This window comes from Homo sapiens, chromosome 6 (assembly GCF_000001405.40).
Source record: "Homo sapiens chromosome 6, GRCh38.p14 Primary Assembly".
NCBI lineage: Eukaryota > Metazoa > Chordata > Mammalia > Primates > Hominidae > Homo > Homo sapiens.
Window position 1 is genome coordinate 169,773,676 of NC_000006.12, and position 14,935 is coordinate 169,788,610.

The 14,935-nt window shown below is 49.0% G+C and overlaps 1 protein-coding gene across 16 annotated transcripts in view, besides 1 other annotated feature; it reads left to right on the top strand.

Annotated features, from left to right (window-relative positions):
- Nucleotides 1-7,925, top strand: part of ERMARD (ER membrane associated RNA degradation) — a 30,295-nt gene extending 22,370 nt beyond the window's left edge. For 9 of the 16 annotated variants that reach the window (XM_047419020.1, XM_047419021.1, NM_018341.3 and 6 more), the window contains 5 exons: nucleotides 1,595-1,671; nucleotides 2,265-2,390; nucleotides 2,780-2,998; nucleotides 5,507-5,620; nucleotides 7,655-7,925. In XM_047419020.1, the coding sequence (XP_047274976.1) occupies nucleotides 1,595-1,671; nucleotides 2,265-2,390; nucleotides 2,780-2,998; nucleotides 5,507-5,620; nucleotides 7,655-7,838 (720 nt within the window). In that variant the 3' untranslated portion in view covers nucleotides 7,839-7,925. The other 7 variants (NM_001278533.2, XM_047419018.1, XM_047419023.1 and 4 more) reach the window with 5 other exon arrangements.
- Nucleotides 9,275-9,775: an enhancer, noted in NCBI's record as "H3K27ac hESC enhancer chr6:170183046-170183546 (GRCh37/hg19 assembly coordinates)". NCBI's record gives its function as "activates a minimal SCP1, AML or CMV promoter by ChIP-STARR-seq in primed H9 embryonic stem cells {active_cell/tissue: H9 hESC(primed)}" and the evidence as "EXISTENCE:reporter gene assay evidence [ECO:0000049][PMID:30033119]".

A 14,935-nucleotide genomic window follows, 5' to 3' on the forward strand; every position in this document is an offset into this window, starting at 1 on the left:
TGAGTCCCCTGGCAGGCTGTTATTGCTGTCAGCAGTAACGCAGAGCTAGGAGCAGTTTTTATTTGTCAGTGGTGAGTAACGTCAGTTTTTCTTCTACACGGACTAGCTTTTGTTAACTTACTGAGACAAACAATTTTTTAAGTGTTTCTGCCAGGAGGCTCCAATTTGGAAATCAGCTAAGGTGCTTTATTCTACATACGGGAGGATACAAGGGTAGTGCAAGGGGATGAAAGAGACAGTCCCCAAGAATATAAGCATCATGACAGTTGTGCAGGTGAAAATTTATAAATGAGATTACCTCTAAAAGGAAGCTGTAAAATCAACACACGGCGGGTCAGGAGAGATTTGCAAAGGCATTTTAAAGAAACGGTGCCTAGAGGCTGGGCGCAGTGTCTCACGCCTGTAATCCCAGCACTTTGGGAGGCCGAGGCGGGCGGATCACAACGTCAGGAGATCGAGACCATCCTGGCTAACACAGTGAAACCCCATCTCTACTAAAAATACAAAAATTAGCCGGGCGTGATGGCAGGTGCCTTGAGAAGTCTGAGGCCTCCTTGAGAATGCCTTAAGGAAAATACGGTCAGAAGGGGGTTGTCAACAGTGAAGTTGGGAAAACAGCCTTCTGGAGGTGTGGCTCGGAGGCAGAGCATCGGGCTGTGCTGGTCAGATGCCATTCCCCGTTGGCGCTGTGGACCAGCTTTACCAGTGGGGATGCCGTGCTTTCCAAGAGCAAGCCCTTACGAAGGTGGAGGTGGGCAGGTAGGGAGGAGGGAAGATTTAGGAAGGAAGAGGAGCTTCAAGAAGGCAGCCTTTGTCTTCTAACCAGAGCCACTGAGACTCCAGGCCATCCTCTGCTGTGCCCCATGGTGGCTATTTTGGGTACTTACCACTTCCTGTCCCCCTCCTGGCATCTCACAGGTATTCAGGCAGCTTTGCATCCTGGGCTTCCGTTATTCCTGCTGTTGATACCACCCACGCTCACTGGTGTCAGCAGCCACCGTTGTACTTGCTCATACGCTAGTGGGTTAGAAATGGGGAGCATCTGCCGAGGGATCTGTCTTGTGGCCTGACCTGGGCGTTGATGGCTGTGGTCCCCCAGGGCTTCGTGGGTGTCCCATCTGAGAAGGCTGGAAGTTGGCCAGGGGCTTCATGGGGGTCCTGCAGGGACAGTCCCAAGGTGACAGCTGCTGCACCTCGAGTGCGGCCTGAACTGGAGAGGCACCTGCACCTCTGACATGGCTTTGGATGCTGCACAGCATCGTCACACCTGCTGTGTTCTGTTGGTTCCAGGCCAGTCGCCAGAGCTCGTGCAGATTTGGTGGGGGCCTCCCTCTCAATGGCAGGTGTCCAAAGAACCTGTGGACATGGTCATAGCCACCCCAGACGTTCACTCCCTTCCAATCCACTGGTAGTTTCCGCAGCCTTCCCCCATCTGAATGTACTGAAGAACTGACACCCACCATCTGGTTTTAAAATGTTTAGAATTTGTAATAATTTACGTATTTTCTAGAGAGTGATGTAACATCCATAAAAACACAGATTTTCTAGGAAGTTACTGTGAAATCTACAAAAGCAATAAAACATTTCCTCCCAGGTGCTGAGCTGTGAGGAGAGCATCAGGGTTTGGGCTCTGCTGCCTTTCCCCGAAGAACTCACTCGGCAAGCCGTCAGGTGCGTGGCATCCTGGGGCCTGGCTGACCTCAAGCTTGTCTGGTACTATTAGTTTCAGCAGCATTTCTTCTTTAACGAGGCTGTGGGAAGATAAAAGGGGAAGGAGGAATTTCTGGGCCTTGGTGGCTGATGCAGGCTGTGGGGAGCTGGAAGTGTCGCTGAATGCGATCTTCCAACTGGCATGGGGCCCTGGTGGAGACTGAACATGGAACGAGAGGCAGGTTTTGTGGGTAGACAGTGGCGTCCATGAGAAGTACCCTGAGTAGATAGGAAGAAAGATGGGTCTGAAGCTCAGGAGAGAAGTAGGGATGGAGACATAAATTCTGGAATCGTAAACAACAGCAGACATCCTTGTTCAGCAGGAAGAATACGCAGGTGGTTCATCGTCTCGTCGTCACTGGACTTTGCTCTTGGCATATGGCATCGTTTGTTTCTCCACTGTATTGTCATGGTGGCTTTTTCCATTTTATATTTGAGGAAAGTGAGATTCACAGTCAGGTCGCTGCTCAGTGAACCATTGAACATTCTTGTGCACAGGCACTGATGTGAGCACTTTAATTGTCACGTATCTTTAAATATTTTCTGTTTTTCAGATTAGAAGATAATTCTGAAACAAATGCCTGCCACTCTTTGATTACAAAAATGACGGATGAGCTGTATCACCATATGCCTGAGAATCGTTGTGTGTTAAAGGACTTGGATCGTCTTCCTACTGAGACGTAAGTTCCAGGACATCCTGACAACTGTTGAAACATTGATTCAGCAGATTAGCATAGCAAACTTAGCATTTTCTATGTTTTAGATTTTATAAACTTGGTAGTAGTCTTAGAATCCCACTGTTACTGCTCCAGGAGGAATTATGAGATAAGTTTTGACAATCTCTGTGCAAGCTTGGCACATCTGATGAGGCTGTGAATGCCACATTCTGTTTGCCACAATTCAGTGTGTTTAGTTAACACTTGCCGCGTGTCACGGTTGTCCCTGCAGACCAACCAGCGATACGCCGCTAGCCCTGGCTCCCAGAAAGCCGCAGCCTTGCAGGTGCAGAAGGAGAGTGAGGCCCAGGTGAGGATCATGATGCCTGCTCCAAGTCTGGCTCTGTTTGCAGGTGGCCCCAGCTTCTCCGTGAGCTCTGCAGCACACCTGTTCCCACCCTGTTCTGCCCCAGGATTGTGCTGGAAGTGCTGGTTGTGCTCCGAAGCATCAGCGAACAGTGCCGCCGTGTGTCCAGCCAGGTCACCGTTGCCTCAGAGCTGAGACACAGGCAGTGGGTGGAAAGGACGCTGCGGTCTCGCCAGCGGCAGAACTACCTGCGTATGTGGAGTAGGTGCGCGCTCACTTTCCTGTTTTGGAGGGGCACTGTGGGGCAGGAAGTTGTCACAGATGCAGTTCTAGTCCTCACTTCCAGACACACACAGTAGCCCCTCACTGAACCCCATCGACAGGTGTTGATATACTTGGAGTCCACAACTGAGTGTGAACCCAAAGTATCTGAGACAGGTCTCAATCCAGTTAGAAAGTTTACTTTCCCAGGGTTAAGGACATGCTGTGACAGCCTCAGGAGGCCCTGACGGCATGTACCCCAGGTACTTGGGGCGAAGTTTGCTTTTACACATTTTAGGGAGACATAAGACATCAGTCCGCAGGTGTAAGGTGTACATTGGTTCCATCTGGAAAGGCGGGAAAATACAAAGGTGGGGGCCTTCCAGGTTATAGGTAGACAGGAGACAAAGGATTGCATTGTTTTGAGTCTTTGATGAGCCTTTCGGTGAATACACAATTTACTTGTGAGTGGGGGTAGAGGAATAGTCACTTAGACCTTAGTGTGGCTCAGTGAAGCTGCATTTTACATAGGGCAGAGGAAGCAATCATATAGGCATTTGTCTCAGGTGAGCTGGGGGATGACTTCCTGTCCCACACCTGGGAAGATCAGCTAGCAACTACATTGCCAGGGAGAAATTCAGCAGAACTCTTTCAGGGTAAAGATCTTGAGGCCCATGAGGAATTTCCTTGTGGACAAATTATGAGGGAGGTCTGTATGTAGCTTTTTTCTCTTTGTAGCCACCTTATTTAGGAATAAAATGGGAGGCAGGTTTGCCTGAGGCAGTTCCCAGCTTGGCTTTTCCCTTTGGCTTAGTGAGTTTGGGGTCCTGAGATTTATTTTCCTTTCATGATAGAAACAAAAGTTAAGTTCCCACAGCATGTTTCTGGTCATACAAATATTACCAAGCTTCTAAATGAAGACCCAAAACACTTACAATGTTAAACATTGAGGTATATATGAACTCTATGGACATTTAATAAAGATGAATTAAAAACAAGTGAGATAACCACTCAGTGTTTGGTGAGGCAGTGAGTGATGGCAGTCCAGGTGGTGGTTAAATGAGGCAATAATGTTTGCAGAGCAAGACCTCCCCAGGCCCGCCCCCCTTCCCCCCACCCACAGCTCCAGCGCCAACAGGAACAAATGTGTGGGTCACTGAGCACTTTTGTATCTGTCACTTACTGTCGAGCACTTGTATGATTATGGTAGACTTTACAAGTTCTTATAATTTGTATTCATTCATTCATTCATTTTCCAACCTGCTTATTCCAGTTCAGGGTCAGGGTTGTGGGTGGCTGGAGCCTATCCCGGCTGCTCTGGGTACAAGGCAGGACCCACCCTGGACAGGACGCGTTTCCGTCGCAGGACGAGTCACACACCCACACTCACTCTGGGACCATGGAGATGCGCCAGTTCACCTAACGTGCACAGCTCTGGGATGTGGAGGGGACTGGGGGACAGGAGAAAACCCATGCCGAACCCATAACGAATGTGCTTCTCCACACGGGCAGTGGCCCTCCTGGGGCATCCATTTCTTTTCTCACTGATGTTGTGACGAAACAATGTTGAATGAAATGATGTTATTTGAGGACTTCCTGTGCTGATTTTCATAGAAAGTTGTAGTACATACTATTTTAAATATTGTTTGTAATTTGGGCATGTGGAAATGTGGGTTCTATCTATCTAAATGAATATTTGGATTTAAAATATAACAGCAGATTAACGTGATTAACAGCAGATTATATTTGGATTTAAAATATAACAGCAGATTAACTTGATTAACAGCAGATTAACAGCATTATGGTTTCTTCACTTATAGAGTATATTTTAGAATGTGCTACATCCTTAAGAAATGGCCATTTTGGATACATTTCTAGAATTTTTGGGTTGAGTGGTATCTGTTTTTAAAGCTTTACATAGATATCGCTGGATTCCCCTCCAGAAAGGTGCTGCTCAATTTACACTCTTACCAGCAGTTTATAAGACAAGGTCATTCTCTTACTACCACTCTCCAAAACCACAATATTTTTACATGTCTCAACTAGTTTCATGGGAAAAGTAAGATCTTAACTTTAATTGGGATTTCTTCAATCTGGTGGCATTGAGCCTGCTTTCCTATCGAGGCCATTTGTTTTTCTCTGGTGAGAGTTCCTCCCTAGATGTCAGAGGGCAGCGAGCAGGGGGGCTGCTGGGCGCAGACTGTACCTGCCTGGTGCCCTGTGAGCGTGCATGGCCCCTGGCAGCCCTGATGTAGACCGGGCGCCTCAGATGGTGACTCAGAGCAAGAAATGCGGACGTGCAGGATGGGCCGGGAGCAAGGGCTATGCTGGGCACTCCTGCCGGCCACGGGCCTCGGGGCTGGAAGCAGGCATTGGGCTCTAAGGATTAGGAAAATTATTTTTTGAGAAGTTGGGACTTAAGGATGTTGATTAGGTGAAACATCTTTTTCCTGATGAAGGTGGAAAATACCAACATATCCTCACATTTTAATTTACTTTTATCTGTTTTTAGTATCAGACTACTGTCCCCTGTGCTCAGCCTGATACTGTTACTCATTGCGCTGGAGTTGGTCAACATTCATGCTGTTTGTGGGAAGAATGCGCATGAGTATCAGCAGTACCTAAAGTAAGTGTGTCACAGTATGTCTGCAGTCACATTGCATCGTGGGGCAGATTGCGGGTGAGCCTGTAGGAGTGAGATTGGGGCAGTGTGAGTGACACTATCCCCTTGGTGGCCCCACCGCCATCTCAGGCAAGGGTCTGACATCTGGCCTGCAAGAACTCCCACATCCAAATGTCTCAAAACCATGTTTTTTTTGTTTTGTTTTGTTTTGTTTTTTTTGGAGACAGAGTCTTGTTCTGTTGCCCATGCTGGAGTGCAGTGGCATAATCACAGCTCACTGCAGCATCGACCTCCCAGGCTCAGGTGATCTGCCACCTCAGCCTCCTGAGTAGCTGGGACCACAGCCATGCCACCATACCTGGCTAATTTTTAAATGTTTTTGTAGAGATGAGGTCTCACTATGTTGCCCTTCAGTGATCATCCCACCTTGGCCTCCCAAAGTGCTGGGATTACAGGTGTAAAAGCCACTGTGCCTGGCCAAAAACCCAATTCGTGTATGTAACAAATTGTTTCCAATTCGGGAAGTCCACTTTTAGGACCATCCCGATCTAGGAGTCTGAAGTAGTGTGACACTTGTGTGACCCACTTTACATCCAGAGATTCCAAACCAAGGAGGCTTCCGGGCAGAGGTCAAACAAGCTGTCAATCTGGGCTTGAGTGTAGCTCCAGCTCCAGTCTCCCTCGGCTGCTAGGAAGTTCTGGATATCTTGTTGGTTTTAAGCCAGTGCTTTGCAGGTGCCAGGCACCTCAGTACATGTTTAAATGAACGTGAAAATACAACTGGGGTGTCTTATGGAAAGATGCATAGACTCCTGCTGAGAGTGAGGGAGCAAACATGCAGACTGTTAGCAGCTGAGGACTCCAGCTCAGTGTGCCCCATGCTTGGCACTGCTGGCATTGTGGGCTGGTGCAAGACTGCCCTGCTCATTGTAGGACGCTCAGTAGCAGCCCTGCCTCTACCCACAAAATACCAATGGCACCCCTACCCTCCGTTTGACAGTCAAAAGTGCCCTAGACATTGCCAGATATCCCCTGGGGGATAAAATCACCCCAGTAGAGAGCCCTCCTCTAGACAAAGTGTCTGTGGCTTTTCATTATATTATCCTTTTAGCTTCTCTTTAAGTTTGAATATTTTCAAGATAAAATGCTGGTGAAAACTACCTGGCAAATGTGGAAAAAGTAAAGATGACATTTATTGTCATCAGTCAGAGTGACCCCGCTGTTAACATTTTGAGAAATAACTTAAGTAAAATCTCTTTAACAGCAACAGCTGTCTCAGTGGCACACATCTTCTCTGAGCCGGCCCCTCCATCACGGGGGATGGAAATTGGATGTGTGAGGAGGGGGAGGGCACGCTGCCCACCAGGCTCCTGACGGGGCTAAAAGGACTGGCCTGCTTGTCATTGCAGCCGAACCTTGAACGATGCAGGTTTGCACTGCACAGGTCCACTTGTCCAGGGAGCTTTTTCAGTAAATATAGTTGGTCCTCTGTATCAGCAGGCTCTGCGTCTCTTGCAAACACAGATTGAAATTACAGTGCTCTTGGTTGCAGACATCAATGTGGGAAAAAAAAACAAAACACAAAAATCTCATTGCGAAACCCACATGTTCAGGGGGCCAATTTTTCACGCTTGACTTGAGTATGCTTGGATTTTGGTATCCACTAGATGACTGTATATTGTGTGTTTATTTTGTGCTGTGTGTTTATTATATTATGTGTCAGTTTGATGCAGATGACCCCTAAGTTCCTTCCTGGAATGACGGCCGTCATGTCTGGGCTGGAGAAGAATGCTTGAAAAGGTGCTTGCGTTGGAGCCTGTCCAAGTGTCCAGTAGCATTTACATTTCAGCATTTTTGTCTTTCTTCTAATTTGTATTCTCTTATTTTTTATTTATACGGATTTATTTTTCTTGAATCCTCAGACATAAATTAACTGCAGTTTACTTTAGGAATAATTCCAAGAATGAAGTGAAGACATTTAATTCATTGTTTCATTTTATAATGGAATGGATAAAGAAATTAATTTTTTTTTTACAGGTTTGTAAAGTCGATCTTGCAGTACACGGAGAACCTGGTGGCTTACACCAGTTACGAAAAGAACAAGTGGAATGAAACTATCAATCTTACACATACAGCTTTGTTGAAAATGTGGACTTTTAGTGAGAAGAAACAAATGTTAATACATTTAGCCAAGAAATCCACAAGTAAAGTACTCTTATGAAAACTTGTAAGTCAGGATGCTTTTAATTTTAACAGATTTTAACAGCGTGTAAATTAAAAACCCAAAGACAGGGTGGAGTTGAGGGTCTGCTTGGCCAGGGTCCAGGTTCTGTTTCTCTGCAGTCATCTGATGTACCCTTTCCGAGTGGTTGGTGTGAGTCTCACTCTGCAGTCTTCTGATTTGCCCTTTCCGAGTGGTCGATGTAAGGCTCAGTCTGCAGTCTTCTGATTTGCCCTTTCCAAGTGGTCGGTGTGAGTCTCAGTCTGCAGTCTTCTGATGTACCCTTTCCGAGTGGTCGGTGTGAGTCTCACTCTGCAGTCTTCTGATTTGCCCTTTCCGAGTGGTCGGTGTGAGTCTCAGTCTGCAGTCTTCTGATGTACCCTTTCCGAGTGGTCGGTGTGAGTCTCACTCTGCAGTCTTCTGATTTGCCCTTTCCGAGTGGTCGGTGTGAGTCTCAGTCTGCAGTCTTCTGATGTACCCTTTCCGAGTGGTCGGTGTGAGTCTCACTCTGCAGTCTTCTGATGTACCCTTTCCGAGTGGTCGGTGTGAGTCTCAGTCTGCAGTCTTCTGATGTACCCTCTCCGAGTGGTCGGTGTGAGTCTCAGTCTGCAGTCTTCTGATGTACCCTTTCCGAGTGGTCGGTGTGAGTCTCAGTCTGCAGTCTTCTGATGTACCCTCTCCGAGTGGTCGGTCTGAGTCTCAGTCTGCAGTCTTCTGATGTACCCTTTCCGAGTGGTCGGTGTGAGTCTCAGTCTGCAGTCTTCTGATGTACCCTTTCCGAGTGGTCGGTGTGAGTCTCACTCTGCAGTCTTCTGATTTGCCCTTTCCGAGTGGTCGGTGTGAGTCTCAGTCTGCAGTCTTCTGATGTACCCTCTCCGAGTGGTCGGTGTGAGTCTCAGTCTGCAGTCTTCTGATGTACCCTTTCCGAGTGGTCGGTGTGAGTCTCAGTCTGCAGTCTTCTGATGTACCCTCTCCGAGTGGTCGGTGTGAGTCTCAGTCTGCAGTCTTCGGATGGACCCTTTCCGAGTGGTCGGTGTGAGTCTCAGTCTGCAGTCTTCTGATGTACCCTTTCCGAGTGGTCGGTGTGAGTCTCACTCTGCAGTCTTCTGATTTGCCCTTTCCGAGTGGTCGGTGTGAGTCTCAGTCTGCAGTCTTCTGATGTACCCTTTCCGAGTGGTCGGTGTGAGTCTCACCCTGCAGTCTTCTGGTTTACCCTTTCCGAGTGGTCGGTGTGAGTCTCAGTCTGCAGTCTTCTGATGTACCCTTTCCGAGTGGTCGGTGTGAGTCTCAGTCTGCAGTCTTCTGATGTACCCTTGCTGAGTGGTCAGTGTGAGTCTCACTCTGCAGTCTTCTGGTTTGCCCTTTCCGAGTGGTCGGTGTGAGTCTCACTCTGCAGTCTTCTGATGTACCCTTTCCGAGTGGTCGGTGTGAGTCTCAGTCTGGCTTCCTTTGTGGTGACCAAGTGCTGTTGTAGTTTTTGGTTCCATCTCCCCGTAACACACCGTCCAGAGGAAGAAGGGAGAGCTGCTGTCACTCAGAAACGCGTGGCTCCTTGGTTACTGGCCACATGCCTACCCTTGAGAACGATTGCTGTGGCCGGGACCCTACCCTGCATTCACCGGCCTTGGGAGATGTTGACTCCTGGACCAGCCATCAGGGCAGGGAGGGTGAGGCCCTGAGGCTGAGGAGAGGACTGATGCAATTTAAGCTTCCTGGGTCAGTGCTGGAGACCAGCTCCTGAAAGGGGAGGTGGGCAGGCACGGGTGCTGGGCAGCAGCCTCCTGGTCAGCATTTGGCAAAAAAAGAAGCCCTTCCCTGTTTTTAGATGTGGGGGTTTCAGTGCAGGGTCTGGGAGAGCTGGGGGAAAGGAGATTAGGGAAGCTGCCATTCATAGGCCCTGCTTGAAGAAGCAAGTGTGTGACTCGAGGGTTCCTGCAGCCGCTGCAGCTCTCGAGGGTGCCTGGGACCCCCACTGTCAGAGTTGGCAGCTGCAAAGCTGGGGCTTTCCGGAAGCCTCTGGGCGGCCGCCCTGACCTCATGTCTGCTTGGGCATGGGCCACCTCACCCCACCCTCTGTGAATCACTGCTTCTCTTTTTCCACCTTCCAAACCTTGACAGGGTGCAGCTGGCAGTCATCTAAGGACTGGCATTCTGTGGCTGCTTCCGCTCAGGAGACCTGGGGGCCGTGGGTGGCAGCAGAGCTGAGCATGTGCTGTTTGTGCTCTGCCAGCTCAGCTCTGGCCCCTCTTAAACACCACCTCTGGGTAAGCGTGACACTTCTGGCTAATGTGATGCAACTTTCTCTTGTACAATTGAAGATGGTTCCTCCTCTTCCCAAAAGTGGAGACACAAAGCACAAATCCCATGTGTCAGTATTCCCACTCTGGGACTGTTCTTTTATAGCGCGGTCACACCTCTCTCTGATACACTTGCATTTAGATGGTGACGTAGGGTTGACCATCCTGCTAGTGGTGGTGCTGGGATGGGAAGAGGGAAAGAAAGAACTGACTGGTAGAGTTATCGCGTAGATACTGGTGTGTCTTACCATTGCAATGAGGAGACCGCACAGAGCTGCTGCATGCACTGTTTTTGCAACCTGATGATCTGGCAGAAGTTTGTGTTTGAAAATTCCCTTTTTGCCACTGTTCCATGTTCCTTTCCTCTGCCTGTCTGGGTTGTGGTTTTTCACCCGGTGAGTTAACCCAGACCTCATTCCTGACAGGTCTTTTCCATTACAAATCTTTCTCGTTTTGGGTAACTGTAGGTTTCCACTAACTTATCACTGGACTTGGGAATACTAAGAGGTTCCCTAGAGAATCCCCTAAATTTCAGACCCTCCTCCTGGCCCCCCATTCTGTGGTAGGAGCTGTGTTTCCCCAAGACAGTTGAGAACAGTCATCTGGCCATAGCAGCAAACTCTTCTGGCTCATTGGCACAAGGCATCCAGTGCGGCTGGGTGGCAGCCTCCGCCTGCAGGACAGTGAGCACCTCGTGTCTCTCTGTGGAAGCATCCAAGGAATGAAGACACCCAAACCAGCAGAGTCCAGAATTGTGAGCGGAGAATCCAAACCTTGCTAGTGGTGCGGGGGCGTAATTAGAGGAGCCATTCCCGCTCCACATGCGCCTCCACCTGTGTTTTCCGGCCATGGGAGAACCCACACCACATGCTGACCGATGGCTCGGAGTGCAGGGCACGTCTTGGGCAACCCAGCAGCCCCCGGGGCGCCTTGTCACAGCCAGCACTGCCCGGTGCTTGGGAGGCTCCCCGAGGTAATGTGTGTGCTGGGATCACGATTACCACGAGCCTCACTGCTGAGCTCTGCTTGAAATGGGTCTCCTGGAAGCAGTTCTGTAAGCAACCTTGCAGCAGATGAGGCTTCTGTGAGCCAGGTGCGGTGGCCAAGAGGCGTCTGTCCCTCTGAACACATGGCCCGATGTGCTTGGGGGCTGGCTCTTCTTTCCAGGTGAGTTTTTCATGCTAGGAATTGTGTTGGTCTCTCCCATTAGCAGATTTATACATTTAGCAGTGGACCTTAGCCAGACTAGCCTTGGAATGAGGATGCCCACGCGGTCGGAGCCATTGACAACGTCCTTCACTGCCTCTACGGCCACTTTGTTGATGAGAACGTTGAGCAAGCAAGGCTGGGTGGCTGGAGAGAAAGGCTAACATGCATGAGGCAGCCATCGTGCCACCTGCCTACTGAGAGCATGGGCCCCCTCCCCCGCTGTTCTTTAGGGCCACTCAAATGGGTTAGAACTTTGCCAATTTTCACCTTCAAGTGGTGTCAGCTGTCAGCATCTTTTACAGCAATCGAGTCTAACTTTTAATTCAGGTGAGTGATCCTAGGGAAGTCCCCATGAGGCCAGTAGGTGCGTGGTGAGGGGTGCTGTCCCTGCAGCAGTGTGGGCCTGAAGAGCGTCGGAACCACTTGCTTGTATCTTGTGCTCCAGAACATGCCAAAGCCTAATCTGTGTGTGCGTGTGCATGTGCATGCATGCTCGTGTGTGTGTGTACACCTATATGCCTATTAAATATATACATCTTGCCTGAATGTAATGATGACATGCTCCCGCTGTTGCCTCCCCTGGTGACGTGACAGGTCAGAAAACGCAGTCTTTGGTGGTCCGCTTAAGCTCCAGCTAGCTGTCACTAGCTGTGCGATGGTGAAGTGTAGATGTTCGGTATCCATCAGGGCCTAGAGGACAAGCTGAGAGCTGGTTCTCAGATTAATAATTATCTGCAGAAGAGGGTGTGGTTTTGTCCCAGAACCCTAGGGGTCTGTGCTCTGGGCCTGTCTGTGGCTCTGCCATGCATCATGGGATCTAATTGCCACCGTGGCCCGACAGGGAGACCAGCTTTTACATCAACCTGCTCTGGAGGCTTTGGTCTTTCTAGGCCTCATGCAGAACTGGCAGTTTGTAGGTTAATTGGAAAGTGAGCAGAGTAGCGTGTGTGAGTCTGGTGGATGTTGGTTGCAGAGCTCCAGAGAGACTCAGAGTGCCTGCCCCTCTCTAGTGCCAGTGAATGCGAGCACAGCAACCTGTCCTCCCCCTCGCGGAGTGCATCCACACCTTCCTAGATCACAGGCCCTGGAAACTTCAGAGCAGCAGCCCTGTGCATTCTTATGAGAGTTACGTCCCACCCCAGGTGGTCATAATGTCACCAAAACAGTGGGGTGTCTTGTTTCCTGTCCACATCATTAATGTGATGCTCCATGGTGGCATCCTGTGGAATGGCAAGATAGCCGGCAGCCCTGAGCTCTAGGTTGTGTGGAGGAACTGGAGAGGTAGCACAGCCCTGATGCATGCCCACCAAGGCTGCTGCTGTCCCTGCCAGATGAGAACAAGACAGCTTCTGGACGTGAGTTTGCAGGATACAAAACCCCAACCCATATCCGTAGGTATAGAGAAAAATCATCTGCCAGATCAGTGGCTGCAGACCAGAGATCCGGGACTATATCTATTTGTTCCAATAAAGAGACCACATCTGAAGTAGCAGATGCTCAGGCTCCTGGGCCAGGGCCTTGTGTCCCAGGGAGGCTCTGCTGTCTTGAGTGGCGGCTCTGTTCCCTGCAGGTGCGTGGGCAGCCATGCTGCTGGGCTGCCTGACCTTCCCTTGGTATTCTTTCCCCTGTTGCCCATCCTGCTTCTGATGAACACTTCCTTGGTCAACTGCAGTATATGTCCATCCCAGTTACAGTCACATCATAAATGGCTACAATTGGTTGTTTTTCCTTAAACAGTGTTACATATCTCTGTTCACAATTGAATTAACTTAGAGTTTAACCCTTAAGAGGCAAATGTCTTCTGTTCTCACCTTCCGGAGGGATCCGGCCACATTGACCATCTTGCTAGCAGGGGTCACAGGTGTAACAAGAACGGATTTCTGCTGGCTGGTGGTCCACGGTGTAGCATGGCTCGGGGGACCCAAGAACTCGATGGCAAAGCTGCTTCAAATTCTCCTGCATGCTTGCTCTTTTCTTTTTGCCCTTTTTCTTCTTTCTTCCCCTTCCTTCCTCTCCTTCTTCCTCTCCTTCTTTCTCTCCTTCTTCCTCTCCTTCTTTCTCTCCTTCTTCCTCTCTTCCTCTCCTTCCTCTCTTTCTCTTTCTCTCTCTCTTTTCCTTTCTCTTCCCCTCCCCTCCCCTCCCCTTCATCACCTAGGCTGAGGTGCAGTGACACAATCATATCTCACTCCAGTCTCTAACTCCTGTGCTCCCATGCTTTTTCTTTTCTTCCTTTCTTTCTCTCCGTTTTTGTTTTTGTTTGTTTGTTTGGTTTTTGAGACGGAGTTTTGCTCTTGTTGCCCAGGCTAGAGTGCAGTGGTGCGATCTCGACTCACTGCAACCTCTGCCTCCCAGGTTCAAGCGATTCTCCTGCCTCAGCCTCCCAAGTAGCTGGGATTACAGGCATGTGCCACCATGCCCAGCTAATTTTGTATTTTTAGTAGAGATGGGGTTTCACCATGTTGGTCAGGTTGGTCTTGAACTTCTGCCTCAAGTGATCCACCCACCTTGGCCTCCCAAAGTGCTGGGATTACAGGCATGAGCCACTGTGCCTGGCCTTTATTTTCTGTCTCTGCTGGCTGGCTGAATACCGTGAGCAGACCAGAATTACTGGAGGCAAGGGAGAAATGGAAAATTAGCTAAATTTGTGTTCCTTCAAAAGCAATGATGAAAACAATTATTTTCAAAGAGCAACAGCAAATGTTGGTCCAAATTCACAAGTGTTCATCTGACAGGCCATATTGGAGAGTAAAGGTAATTGTGCGTGGGCCTTCTGAATGCATGGACGTGGAATTTAGCTACAGGATGAATGTTCTCCTGCTTCCGTAAGTTGTTTTGATGAGACATGAAGACATGTTCTGAACAATATTAGAAGAAAGCATCACCTTGGTACATCTGGCACCTGCCCTGCCCCCGACCTTTTCCTGAGTGAACAGAAGCCACGTCCCTTTTTAAATTAAGTGATGGAACAGCCTGGCCTGTTCCATGTCCTTGCTGCTGTCTCCCGTGCTCGCTCCTCTGGGGCTCCAAGCATGTGGCTGAGAATCCATTTGGGACATCCGTTCCCCATCCCTGCCTGTCTCTATCATTAAACAAAGTGAAGATAGTCTGATGTGACTGGCTTTCCAAACTCTTACTTGGATTCACTGTAATGTAGACTAAACAAATGGCTTAAAATTCACTGTTTGCAGAGACCTTATCCTCTGCTCCACTCAGTAGAGACATGACCTGCCCCTCGAATCTCTGCTCATTCCACTGCCTTCCTGACAGGCATGTGCGCAGCTTCAGGAAGCTCTCTGAGGTCAGAAACCCTGTCCTTTTACCTGTTTGCACCCCCTCTTTGTGTGTCCTGAATATTTTTACTACCTTAAATGTGGGTTCTTTTCCCCACAACATTTGTTTTAAATAATTTTAAAGCTACAGAAATGTTTCTAGAATAGTCCAATGGATTCCCACATGACAGTTCAACTATCGTTGGCATTTTGCCACACTTATTTTCCCCTTTTAAGTACACATATATCATTCTTTTGACTGAACCATTTTGAAAGTTAGTCATTGTGATGTGATGTTTTGCCCCCAAATACTTGAGCATTC